Source organism: Homo sapiens, chromosome 2 (genome assembly GCF_000001405.40).
Source record: "Homo sapiens chromosome 2, GRCh38.p14 Primary Assembly".
Classification (NCBI taxonomy): domain Eukaryota; kingdom Metazoa; phylum Chordata; class Mammalia; order Primates; family Hominidae; genus Homo; species Homo sapiens.
In genome coordinates, this window is record NC_000002.12 from 176,797,338 (window position 1) to 176,812,073 (window position 14,736).

Below are 14,736 nucleotides of genomic sequence, written 5' to 3' on the forward strand. Positions count from 1 at the left end.
AGAGCAGAAAAACTGGAAACTCTAAAAAGCAGAGCGCCTCTCCTCCTCCAAAGGAACGCAGTTCCTCACCAGCAACGGAGCAAAGCTAGACGGAGAATGACTTTGACGAGCTGAGAGAAGAAGGCTTCAGACAATCAAATTACTCTGAGCTACGGGAGGACATTCAAACCAAAGGCAAAGAAGTTGAAAACTTTGAAAAAACTTTAGAAGAATGTATAACTAGAATAATCAATACAGAGAAGTGCTTAAAGGAGCTGATGGAGCTGAAAACCAAGGCTCGAGAACTACGTGAAGAATGCAGAAGCCTCAGGAGCCGATGCGATCAACTGGAAGAAAGGATATCAGCAATGGAAGATGAAGTGAATGAAATGAAGCGAGAAGGGAAGTTTAGAAAATAAAGAATAAAAAGAAACGAGCAAAGCCTCCAAGAAATATGGGACTATGTGAAAAGACCAAATCTACGTCTGATTGGTGTACCTGAAAGTGATGAGGAGAATGGAACCAAGTTGGAAAACACTCTGCAGGATATTATCCAGGAGAACTTCCCCAATCTAGCAAGGCAGGCCAACATTCAGATTCAGGAAATACAGAGAACACCACAAAGATACTCCTCGAGAAGAGCAACTCCAAGACACATAATTGTCAGATTCACCAAAGTTGAAATGAAGGAAAAAATGTAAGGGCAGCCAGAGAGAAAGCTCGGGTTACCCACAAAGGGAAGCCCATCAGACTAACAGTGGATCTCTCAGCAGAAACCCTACAAGCCAGAAGAGAGTGGGGGCCAATATTCAACATTCTTAAAGAAAAGAATTTTCAACCCAGAATTTCATATCCAGCCAAACTAAGCTTCATAAGTGAAGGAGAAATAAAATACTTTACAGACAAGCAAATGCTGAGAGATTTTGTCACCACCAGGCCTGCCCTAAAAGAGCTCCTGAAGGAAGCACTAAACATGGAAAGGAACAACTGGTACCAGCCGCTGCAAAATCATGCCAAAACGTAAAGACCATCGAGACTAGGAAGAAACTGCATGAACTAACGAGCAAAATAACCAGCTAACATCATAATGACAGGATCAAATTCACACATAACAATATTAACTTTAAATGTAAATGGACTAAATGCTCCATTTAAAAGACACAGACTGGCAAATTGGATAAAGAGTCAAGACCCATCAGTGTGCTGTATTCAGGACACCCATCTCACGTGCAGAGACACACATAGGCTCAAAATAAAAGGAAGGAGGAAGATCTACCAAGCAAATGGAAAACAAAGGCAGGGGTTGCAATCCTAGTCTCTGATAAAACAGACTTTAAACCAACAAAGATCAAAAGAGACAAAGAAGGCCATTACATAATGGTAAAGGGATCAATTCAACAAGAAGAGCTAACTATCCTAAATATATATGCACCCAATACAGGAGCACCCAGATTCATAAAGCAAGTCCTGAGTGACCTACAAAGAGACTTAGACTCCCACACATTAATAATGGGAGACTTTAACACCCCACTGTCAACATTAGACAGATCAACAAGACAGAAAGTCAATAAGGATACCCAGGAATTGAACTCAGCTCTGCACCAAGCGGACCTAATAGACATCTACAGAACTCTCCACCCCAAATCAACAGAATATACATTTTTTTCAGCACCACACCACACCTATTCCAAAATTGACCACATACTTGGAAGTAAAGGTCTCCTCAGCAAATGTAAAAGAACAGAAATTATAACAAACTATCTCTCAGACCACAGTGCAATCAAACTAGAACTCAGGATTAAGAATCTCACTCAAAACCGCTCAACTTCATGGAAACTGAACAACCTGGTCCTGAATGACTACTGGGTACATAACGAAATGAAGGCAGAAATAAAGATGTTCTTTGAAACCAACGAGAACAAAGACACAACATACCAGAATCTCTGGGATGCATTCAAAGCAGTGTGTAGAGGGAAATTTATAGCACTAAATGCCCACAAGAGAAAGCAGGAAAGATCCAAAATTGACACCCTAACATCACAATTAAAAGAACTAGAAAAGCAAGAGCAAACACATTCAAAAGCTAGCAGAAGCCAAGAAATAACTAAGATCAGAGCAGAACTGAAGGAAATAGAGACACAAAAAACCCTTCAAAAAATTAATGAATCCAGGAGCTGGTTTTTTGAAAGGATCAACAAAATTGATAGACCACTAGCAAGACTAATAAAGAAAAAAAGAGAGAAGAATCAAATAGACACAATAAAAAATGATAAAGGGGATATCACCACCGATCCCACAGAAATACAAACTACCATCAGAGAATACTGCAAACACCTCTATGCAAATAAACTAGAAAATCTAGAAGAAATGGATAAATTCCTCGACACAGACTAAACCAGGAAGAAGTTGAATCTCTGAATAGACCAATAACAGGAGCTGAAATTGTGGCAATAATCAATAGCTTACCAACCAAAAAGAGTCCAGGACCAGATGGATTCACAGCCAAATTCTACCAGAGGTACAAGGAGGAACTGGTACCATTCCTTCTGAAACTATTCCAATCAATAGAAAAAGAGAGAATCCTCCCTAACTCATTTTATGAGGCCAGCATCATCCTGTTACCAAAGCCGGGCAGAGACATAACAAAAAAAGAGAATTTTAGACCAATATCCTTGATGAACATTGATGCAAAAATCCTCAATAAAATACTGGCAAACCGAGTCCAGCAGCACATCAAAAAGCTTATCCACCATGATCAAGTGGGCTTCATCCCTGGGATGCAGGGCTGGTTCAATATACGCAAATCAATAAATGTAATCCAGCATATAAACAGAACTAAAGACAAAAACCACATGATTATCTCAGTAGATGCAGAAAAGGCCTGTGACAAAATTCAACAACCCTTCATGCTAAAAACTCTCAATAAATTAGGTATTGATGGGACGTATCTCAAAATAATAAGAGCTATCTATGACAAACCCACAGCCAATATCATACTGAATGGGCAAAAACTGGAAGCATTCCCTTTGAAAACTGGCACAAGACAGGGATGCCCTCTCTCACCACTCCTATTCAACATAGTGTTGGAAGTTCTGGCCAGGACAATTAGGCAGGAGAAGGAAATAAAGGGTATTCAATTAGGAAAAGAGGAAGTCAAATTGTCCCTGTTTGCAGATGACATGATTGTGTATCTAGAAAACCCCATTGTCTCAGCCCAAAATCTCCTTAAGCTGGTAAGCAACTTCAGCAAAGTCTCAGGATACAAAATCAATGTACAAAAATCACAAGCATTCTTATACACCAACAACAGACAAACAGAGCACCAAATCATGAGTCAACTCCCATTCACAATTGCTTCAAAGAGAATAAAATACCTAGGAATCCAACTTACAAGGGATGTGAAGGACCTCTTCAGGGAGAACTACAAACCACTGCTCAAGGAAATAAAAGAGGATACAAACAAATGGAAGAACATTCCATGCTCATGGGTAGGAAGAATCAATATCGTGAAAATGGCCATACTGCCCAAGGTAATTTACAGATTCAATGCCATCCCCATCAAGCTACCAATGACTTTCTTCACAGAATTGGAAAAAACTACTTTAAAGTTCATATGGAACCAAAAAAGAGCCTGCATCTCCAAGTCAATCCTAAGCCAAGAGAACAAAGCTGGAGGCATCACACTACCTGACTTCAAACTATACTACAAGGCTACAGTAACCAAAACAGCATGGTACTGGTACCAAAACAGAGATATAGATCAATGGAACAGAACAGAGCCCTCAGAAATAACACCTCATATCTACAACTATCTGATCTTTGACAAACCTGAGAAAAACAAGCAATGGGGAAAGGATTCCCTATTTAATAAATGGTGCTGGGAAAACTGGCTAGCCCTATGTGGAAGCTGAAACTGGATCCCTTCCTTACACCTTATACAAAAATCAATTCAAGATGGATTAAAGACTTAAATGTTAGACCTAAAACCATAAAAACCCTAGAAGAAAACCTAGGCATTACCATTCAGGACATAGGCATGGGCAAGGACTTCATGTCTAAAACACCAAAAGCAATGGCAACAGAAGTCAAAATTGACAAATGGGATCTAATTAAACTAAAGAGCTGCTGCACAGCAAAAGAAACTACCATCAGAGTGAACAGGCAACCTACAAAATGGGAGAAAATTTTCGCAACCTACTCATCTGACAAAGGGCTAATATCTAGAATCTACAATGAACTCAAACAAATTTACAAGAAAAAAACAACCCCATCAAAAAGTGGGCAAAGGACGTGAACAGACACGTCTCAAAAGAAGACATTTATGCAGCCAAAAAACACATGAAAAAATGCTCACCATCACTGGCCATCAGAGAAATGCAAATCAAAACCACAATGAGATACCATCTCACACCAGTTAGAATGGCAATCATTAAAAAGTCAGGAAACAACAGGTGCTAGAGAGGATGTGGAGAAATGGGAACACTTTTACACTGTTGGTGGGACTGTAAACTAGTTCAACCACTGTGGAAGTCAGTGTGGCGATTCCTCAGGGATCTAGAACTAGAAATACCATTTGACCCAGCCATCCCATTACTGGGTGTATACCCAAAGGACTATAAATCATGCTGCTATAAAGACACATGCACGTGTATGTTTATTGCGGCATTATTCACAATAGCAAAGACTTGGAACCAACCGAAATGTCCAACAATGATAGACTGGATTAAGAAAATGTGGCACATATACACCATGGAATACTATGCAGCCATAGAAAATGATGAGTTCATGTCCTTTGTAGGGACATGGATGAAATTGGAAATCATCATTCTCAGTAAACTATCACAAGAACAAAAAGCCAAACACCACATATTCTCACTCTTAGGTGGGAGTTGAACAATGAGAACACATGGACACAGGAAGGGGAACATCACACTCTGGGGACTGTTGTGGGGTGGGGGGAGGGGCGAGGGATAGCATTGGGAGATATACCTAATGCTAGATGACGAGTTAATGGGTGCAGCGCACCAGCATGGCACATGTATACATATGTAACTAACCTGCACATTGTGCACATGTACCCTAAAACTTAAAGTATAATAATAATAAAAAAATAAATAAATAAAAATACAAAACAATTAGTTGGGTGTGGTGGCGGGCGCCTGTAGTCCCAGCTACTGGGGACCCTAAGGCAGGAGAATGGCATGAACCTGGGAGGCGGAGCTTGTAGTGAGCCGAGATCGTGCCACTGCACTCCAGCTTGGGCGACAGAGCAAGACTCCATCTCAAAAAAAAAAAAATAATAATAATTTGTTCTGTTATGTAGTACAAGGAGTGGCGTCAATTTTATCTCTTTGCATACAGCTACCCAGCTACCCTAACACCATTTATTAAAAGTTCCATCCTTTTCTTACTAATTAGAGATGCCATTTTTATCATATATTAAATATTCATGTGCAACTAGGTATACCTTTGAATTTTCTGTTTTTTCCGTTCTTATGCTTATTCATTAACACCAAACTATTTTAATTTTAGAGGTTTATGTTTTAATATAATACCATTGCTCTTCTTTTGAGGCATTTTCTAGCTATTCTTGCATGTTTATTCTTCTAAACACACTGTATAATCAATTTGTCTAGCTCTAGGAAAAAATGTGATGAGATTTTCACAGGGATTACATTAAATATTTAAATAAGCATAGAAATAACTAAGATATTTATGTTTTCTTCGTGACTATCATTTACCTTTCCAATTAAGTCTAATTTTGTACCTTTATGAGTGTTTAATAATTTTCCTAATAGTGATTTTGAACATTTCTTGTTAAGTTTACACTGAGGTATTTTGTTTTTAGCTATCAGACACATGGTCTTCTATTCCATTATATCTTCTAACTAACTGGTTTTGTTTGCATCTATTGATTCAGGAATCATGTTGTTATGGCAGTACTGGCATTAGTATTCTGAAACTGTTGTGTATGTAGTGTGAGGTAAAGCAAGAATATGTATATATTGGTGTCATTGAGAACTGGAATTTTCAGCTTGGGTGAGAGTAGATACAGCTTTAAGATCAATGAGGTAAAAATACTGTAGTCCTGAAAATAAATCTGAATAGCAGTACTAATTCATAATATGTTTTATGGTTTAAAAGCATGTATTTTCTAGTTCTTTCCACTGGAAAGGCCTAGAAACAATGGCCAACCTACTACTACTAGCAGTGAGCACCTCCAGAACCCTGATTGCATCTCTAAAACTATTTTCCACCAAAAGGAACCCACCTCTTGGAAAGATGGCTGATTCCAGATCTCAGACAGGGAGTTTATGAAATGAGCCTGGAATATATTGTCATGCCAGGTATCAAGGATGCTATGAAAAAGTACTATGATTCTGTCCAAAGAGGATCCAACTGGCCAAAGATGGGATAATTTGAGCTCTTCAGTGGAATGATAAATGAAATGAATTCAATGGAAACATATCAAGTATATTTAAATGTAAATTCGGAATGATATCAAAAATCTAAATTCATTAATCATCTTTAAAGAACGCTACAGGATTAATTCATTGTGTTAAAAAAAATGGTCTCAAAGTAATCAAATAATCAAGGGTAAGTTTCTCTTTATAGAATTTTTCCAGCTAATAAATGAATGAGGATGGATAGAATTGAGACATCAGCATGTTGCAACCTTCTAATGAATTAATGGCTCTGGACAGTGTTCACTAATGGCTGCTAAACACCAAAGAGAGACACTTAGACATTACGTACCTCCTAACGGAAGTGCAGAACACTACATGTGCATTAATCTTGACAACAAAATAATTGAACCTGAATCTGGTTAAGCTTCTAAATCCAACTACCAATTTACAGCTTACAATGACAGAGGAACATGTTAAACATCACAGGGATGCCATCAGCAAACTCCAAACTGTGGGAAATTCCAAGACAGCCAGTTTATTCAACATTAACTTAAACAAGTTGCAAAGGGGAGGTGGGAGATATGGTTGAGAAACTTACAAATTTTTTTGGCACGCAAACATTCATTTGACCGTATTTTAAAGGCAGAGCAGAATCACATTCACTTTCTTATATATATATAAGATTATATATAATCACTATAAACAGGCTGGATTTCAGAGCTCTAAGTTCACTTTGGAAACTTTTGAACAGTTGACCACTAGCAGCCCAGCAAGCTTTTTCCTTCCCTTCCAGGCTCTCCTGCACTTTAGTAGGGAGGAGGCAGTGTGTTGGTGACAACTGATGCTAAATAAATAGTGCGTGGTTGTGCTTGCCAAACCCTTTCCACCTCTTCCACAAGCAACAGGGAGACTTGGCTTATTCTTTATCTGAAGTCTCCAAGTCAACAAGTAGGTTATCAGACACAAAGAATAGAGGGAAGCTTCTGTTGTAGATAATTTTAAACGTTAAGAATGGATGAACTTGGAGCTTAAGTGCTCAGTCCTCCTTTTGCTGACCAGAGAGAGGTATGCTAGCAAGAGAGCTCAGATGCTTGGTCTATTGAAGCATCAGTGTAATATATTCAGTTCCTTTGATTAAAAAGTGCTGGAAAAGCCATCTCTGGGTGGAGAAGGGAAGTGAGTTGATTACAATGATGGTACTATAAAAGGCAAATCAAAGCAGCAAACAGCAGGCAATGCCCCTTTCCTCTTGAACTCCAACAATCAGTCCACTCCTGTCAGCTTTACAGGCCAAGAAAACTCAACTGGGAAAGCAGAGGATGATAACTGGGGCAGAAAAAGAAGGCCTTTGTCCAGACCTGTGGACCACTTCAGACATTCTTTTTTCCCAGCACTGTGTGCTTTCTAGTCAAGGTGGTTATGGGGGATTCAAGGTTTAAGACTCCATTTTCTGGCCAGTGCTGTAAAATCGCATAAACAGCTGATCCTTTAGAGGTATACCATGCAGATGTCATGTTCTTTTCCAATTGCACCTTCCATGGTTTAGAGGCATAGATAGCTTCCCCACTGATGCTCAGCCACTTCCTAAAAGCAAGAAGCCTTTCTTGGAAGACAGGAACAGTTAGATCATCTTTAGCTTGTCCAATGTTGAGAAGATAGTTGCCTCTTAAACTTGCTGTCTGAAGCAGTTCCAAAACCATTTCAGATTCACTTGCAAAGTCAGACATTGCCATGTTGCAACCATTGCCCCAGAATTTCTTGTCAATGGTGGTACACATCTCTTACTTGTGGTCTTGCAACCTCCCCAGCTTAAGTTTCTCTTGACAGTTGTAGTGCTGTCCATGGTGACAGAACCATTTCTGACCCCATCAGTCATTTACTACCACCTCTTCCTTGATAGATATCATTGTAGAGGCAAGTTCAAATAAGTATCAGGACAGTCTCACTTTATTAGACAAAATCATATCAGACTTGTGCCTGTTAACAAGATCATATAGCTGTGGCATTGTTTTTACACTGCCAAAATGCTGTGTTTTGAAGCCATTTTTTTTTAAATCAAGTAGCTAGAGTGGATGGAACCATTCTAAGAAGTGATAGAGTTCATTGTGTATGTTCCTCTTCCAGACTGTTTCCAACTCACCAACCAAACTGGTAGGGCCCCACATCCTTAGAATTTAAGTTCTAAGACATGAGACTCAGCCAGTTTGTGATGCTTTGTATCATGACTACATACTTGGCCTCCAAATCCTGGAAGAGATTGGCCCACTTGTCCATTCAGATGGAAGAAACCCACTGTGAACTGCTGGCTAAAATCTGCATGGCTGAAGCCAGGTGGGTAGTGGTGATACATGAAACGCTGGTAGTGAATCTGTCTTCACCTTTCCAGAGCCACCAGCACCAAGAACACTCCCCAGTGCACAAACATGCCCCAGTGCACGAACATACTGAAACTGGCCTCATCAAATCAGTGTGGCAGCAGCCAGGAATCCAGCCTCAGCCAGTCCAAAGTGTACCTGCCTGGAGCCCCAAGCACCCACATGACGGCTCCATGCGCCAGCAGCAGCAGTAGCAGCAGCGCAGGGGCCACTGCCAGCAACTTCATCTAGTGAGCCCTGGAAGCCTGCAAATTAACAGAGACTTTTAATTAATTAATCCTAATGAATAAACTTTGTTTGGATCTCAGTCAAGCAAACAAACTTATGTTTGTCATGCTTTAAGGAAAGCAGTACCAATACGGTGTTCATGGAAGCAGATGGAATCTATTGTGGAAATCGGAAAGAATTAAAAGAAGTTGGGGAGAGTGAAGGTTCAGGCCAAATGAGCTGGTGGTGGTACTTTTCACAGCCTGTGTGGTGGTACTCATTACAACCTCATTTATTATCCATTGTCTTCAATTTGCCCCTCGGGGAAATAGTTTGGTCTAAATAAAAGCTCAGAATAAGGATCTAGAAAAAGATTAGCTACATTAAGCCATGCACTCCAATTCAACTAGAGATAAAACATGAGGGAAAGAAGGCATATCTCCAAATTCAATTCTCCTAGCTTCAGTTATGTTTTATGGAGAACTTCTGCCATTCACAAGAGATGTAGTTTCCCCAGGGGAGACAGCAGGTGTACATTTACTCTCAAGGTTATTTAATTGCTGTCAGGAAGACATATGATTAACAAAGCCAAATGCTGGAAATATGAAGTATAGACAATTTTAAAGTTGTTTATATAGTGGATTACAGTATATCATACAATGTGTTTATTTGCCATAAACCTGCCTATCACAAACTGTTTCCACACCTGTGTGTCTTCACTAAACTGCCTATTGCTTAGCTGTTTGTGAATTCCCAGCTATGTGGATGGCCAGCAGCTGGACAAGGGGCAGCTTCCACTGGTGGCCTCTCTGAGCCACCTCCAATGTACAAGCTTCACACCAGGGCTTTGACCACTCCAGTCTAGGGTTGAGACCTGCTGGCCCATTGTGTCCTCTGCTTTGATGAGAGCCCTATGGAAGGAAACCAGTATGGAAATGAAGGGCCTGTGAGGTTCCCCGCTGTCCTTTATGACACCCCACTCAACGTGAGGCCCACTGTCTGTCATCTGTGGGATACTCTTCAGAGATAAGTAGGGAGTTGAGAGGAGGCATTTAGAACCGTCAGAGCCATTTGGCAGCATGCATTTGTGTATGTTGAATCTTAAAATTTTGAAAAGGGACTTGAGTTTTATATGTATTGGTTTTTTATTTCACTTTAAGTTATGTTTATTACATTTTGCCAATCAGTCTGTGACTGATTGGAAGTAAAAAACAAAACTGATCCTTCACTACAGATAGTTTGAGATGCACTGGTAGAGAGTGACGGCCCCAAAGCACGCTGCATCCCAGGGCTTTACCCTGACACTCAGCAGTTCCAAGGGGACAGCAGATGGGAAAAATGTGACCCACAAAGATGGCTTTCGAAAGGGTCTCTCAAAGGTGAGGAGCAAACATTGAATCTACTGCATATGTGTTAGGTTCATTCCAGGGCAGGGCAGATCTAACAAAACCAGCCTAGCTGACCCCTAGTCATGGCATAACTCTTAGGCCTTTCAATACTAGCAGCAGCAGTAGTAGTAATAGTAGTAGAAGATGAAGATACAGCTAAGACTTATATAGGACTTAACTGTGATCCAGGTTCTGTCCTAAATGCTTTGCCTTGGCAGCATGCGTTTCTGAGAAGGGGCAGAAAGTCGCTGTCTTTACACAGAGTCTAAGAAGGCTTATATAGACTTACTATAAGCTACAAAATAGCAAATGGTCTTCCCTTCTCTTTGAAGTGATCTATATTCTAGCCTATACATGTACAGAGAAGTATAACATCCAAATCTGTTTACAGTGATTCCTTGTATAGCCATGCAAATTTACTAATGACTGACCCCTTCTTAGGGTATTTTGAAACATCATGCCAAATATACTAGCTATATTGCATATGCCAGATATACTAAAGACAGTAATTAAAGAAATTTAATACCCAGGAAATAGGAGTTTGTGTGCAGATACTGGTCATGGAGCATATCTGGAAAATTATTAGTACAGAAACAGCATTCAATTTTAGAAAATATGGAGATAGTTTGACCAATGTTTTGATTATTTGTTGCTGCACTTGGACATTCTCAGGCATGAAACAGAAACAAAAAATATATAAGAAAGACAACAGAACAAAACTTACATTACTGCATAGAGACATTATCCAAGACCAAGTCTTTATCTGCTAGTTTACTCCCTCCGAAAAGATAGAAGACTGAGAAGTATTTCAGATATTTCTTTGCTCCTTCCTGCATCATTAGGGTTTTTAAAAATGTTTGAGTTTTCTAAAGCCTATATTTAACAGTATAATAGAGAGTCTGTTCACCCTATTCCTCTAAGAATGAGCCTTCTTAGACTCTGTAAAGAGAGCTACTTTCTGCCTTCTCCAATAATCTCTGCAACAGCCAGAGCTACCCCCACTATTGTTGGCAGCCAGATTCCCTGCCTGGCTTTGAGGTGGTCAGAAAATAGTTAATCACACACAGACTTTCAGTGTATGGTTGTAGGGAGGATTAAGGAGTTCACCCTAGGGAAACATAAATGGTGGTAGCGATGGGGACTAGTTCCCTACCTCACGTTTCCATGGCCTCTTGTCCCTCGTCAGGTTCCGTGGACAAGCTGGTGCTTGACTCTGCAAGCACAGTGGATAGTTTCAATCCCAGGTGAGCAGGGAGGGAGATGTTTCCCCTTCCAACCAACTGACTAAAATTTCTTCTTCTTCCCGTAAATTTAAACCTAGTAGTAAAATGGTAATGCTGAATCCCAATCAATTAATATTCACTGGAAGCCCATAACATTCCAGAGCGATGATTCCTGCCCTTGGGAACTTTACCCTAATAAACTGTAAATCACAGGAGAGCCTTCTCCATATTAACTCTGTGTACCCTTTGAGATGAGGTCATGCTTGTAGGCCTACCCTAAAGGTAGAGAATCCAAAGGAAAAGAAGGCCAATGCTGCCCAAGACTCAAGGTGTGCCAGTGAAATGCCAAGAAGAAAAAGACATTTACTATTTAGTGGGGATATTTCCAGGAGAGAAATTTCCAGCTTGTATGAATAGCATAGGAGGTCAACAGCCTCAGGCAGATGGCAGCTGTGAGGCCACACCAATCCTTCTGTCCTCATATTGGCAGACAGAGGCCTCCACCCTGGAGCTTTGGTGGAGGCCTGGCCACATTTGGGAGCCTGAGCTGGAGACAGAGCCACACCTGGTGCTTGGTTTGAGCCCTGGTCTTTGACTTTGGCCAGCAGAACCTGAAACCCTTGGTGATGCAGGGATGAGCACACTTCCTGAGCTTGGGGTGGTCAGTGCAGGCAAGTTGATTGAGTTTGCACCTAATGCCCTTTGGGATCTTGGTCTTGACCTCCTTGGACTTCACAAAGGCCCTGACAGCCTCAGTTGATTCACTCGTGGCCCTGACATCATTGACCTGCGTCTTCTTCTGGCCCTTCTTGTGCTTCTTAGCAAAGTGCATGTTCCTCAGGAACTTGGGGCCCACCCTTTTAAGAGATTTACATCTTTGACATAGGGTTTTCTTGATGCCATTTCTGTTCTAGTTGTGTGTAGTGTGATTCTTGGACTTGGCCGTGTTTACACAGTAGCCCAAGGCTCCCAAAGCAACTAGTAGCGGTAGAGAAAGCGTCCACCCTGTTTCTTTGTGCTATTTCTTATGTCTGTTATAGCGAGAAATAAAGTAACTTATAAAATATCTTCAAAAATTGTTATTGTATCCTCCCAACAAGGTGATAAGATAGATACTAATATCTCCATTTTACTGACAAGGAAACTGAAACGCAGGAAGAATACATCCCTTCTTGAGGTCTTGCAGAATCAAGGCCTTAACTGAAGTCCTTTTCCTTCAACCCCAGTGTTTTTTTGCCATTTTGGCTGCCTTTATGGTCTTTTACTGGATTTTTTTTTCCTTTGGGTATTTCACAGTCATCTCAAATTGAATTTATCCAAAATGGAATTCCTGATTTCTTCAAATTGCGTCCTTCTCCTGTTTTCTATATAAGAAATCTGGGAGTCATTTTTGATACCTTGTCTCTCTCATTTTCCCATATCCAATCCATCACCACATTATGACAATTATACCTCCAAAACACCCCTCTTGCTACTTCTATCTGGTTTAAGTACTCTGGATATTTATTTGTTAAGTAAGTGCTGAGGTGGAATATGTGCAATTAAGAAGGATACCAGGAAGACAAAGTAGCTGGGAAGTGAGCTAGATTTCCTCTTAAAAATAAAGATTTTGAAAGGTCTCTTCAAAAAAAAAAAAAAGAAGAAGAAGAGAAAAAGAAGAATTAAGCTCGTGAGTCATATTAATATCTTAAATTTTCATTTTAGTTTCCCTAGGTGCAACTGAAATTCTTTCTGGAACGAAGCAGTTTAAATTAAATCCATTGTAGTTTAATAATAAATGAATGCCTTAGATCAATTATCTAGTTTTCTTCTCACAACTAGACTCTTAAGCATAGGCAAACAGATGTTATTATAATTTATGGATTGAAAACTGAGGTTCAGAGAGGCAAAGTGACTTGCCCAAGGTCACACAACTGAGACTAGACACCAGAATACTCATGCCAGCATGAGTGTTTTTTCCTAGTAAGCTCTGCTAACTTCTGTAACACATCCTGTCATCATATTTTAGTGCTGAGACAACACCAAAATAGAGTCTAGAAAATGTGGCACATATACACCATGGAATACTATGCAGCCATAGAAAAGGATGAGTTCATGTCCTTTGCAGGGACATGGATGAAGCTGGAAACCATCATTCTCAGCAAACTAACACAAGAACAGAAAACCAAACACCGCATGTTCTCACTCATAAGTGGGAGTTGAACAATGAGAACACATGGACACAGGGAGGGGAACATCACACACTGGGGCCTGTCAGGGAGTAGGGGGGTAGGGGAGGGATAGCATTAGGAGGAATACCTAATGTAGATGATGGGTTGATGGGTGCAGCAAACCACCATGGCACATGTATACCTATGTAACAAACCTGCACATTCTGCACATGTATCACAGAACTTAAAGTATAATTAAAAAAATAGAGAATAATATAGGAAATTCACTGATTTAGCAGAAACCTGTGGCGCATACACTGGCTCAGAAAACATAGTTGTTGTTGTTCTTCCTCCTCCCCCTCCTCCTCCTCATCTTCTAGAGATTGTGTGGCACACTCCAACAAATGAAAACAAAGACCTTAATAAGAAATTTTCCTTATTGGTAATATGACAATTCTGAGTAGGAAAGGAAAAAAAAAACCCATAATGGCAGATTTCTATGATACTCTTTTGCACACTGATTCTTTCTGCCATGGATACAAATCTTGCATTAAGTGACTATCAGTCTTGCTGAACCTTCACTCAAAATACCTTCTGAAAAACTGTCTTTTCTTATGGTCCTTCTTGTAGTTAGAAACTATGTCCTCTAAAGAAATTCAAGAAGCAATTCAAAGCAATTTTTTCATTTACTGTTTACAAGGATTGGGTTGGGTCACTCCAAAATATAATCTTTTTTTGTCAGCTCTATAGCCTAGGTAAAGTATTTCTTTTCTCTCCAAGTGCATGTCATTGAAAAATTTACCACGAGATTCCTAAAACCTGGGTCTTATGCTACAGTGCACTCCTAGAGTGCAAACAAAGGTAATGATTTAGAAAATCTCTCGGTGATGTGGATGAGAATGAGTGTTAGAGCAATCCCTAGGCAGCAGAAAAAGACTCCAGTGCTTACATAGTCCTAGTGTGCACACATGGCTTCTGCTGTAATTCTTTTTTGTTAAAACTTACCT

General features: G+C 40.0%; 2 pseudogenes; both read right to left on the reverse strand.

The window, feature by feature from the left end:
* On the reverse strand, nucleotides 6,960-8,781 carry FUCA1P1 (alpha-L-fucosidase 1 pseudogene 1; annotated as a pseudogene).
* RPL29P8 (ribosomal protein L29 pseudogene 8) lies at nucleotides 9,697-12,411 on the reverse strand (annotated as a pseudogene).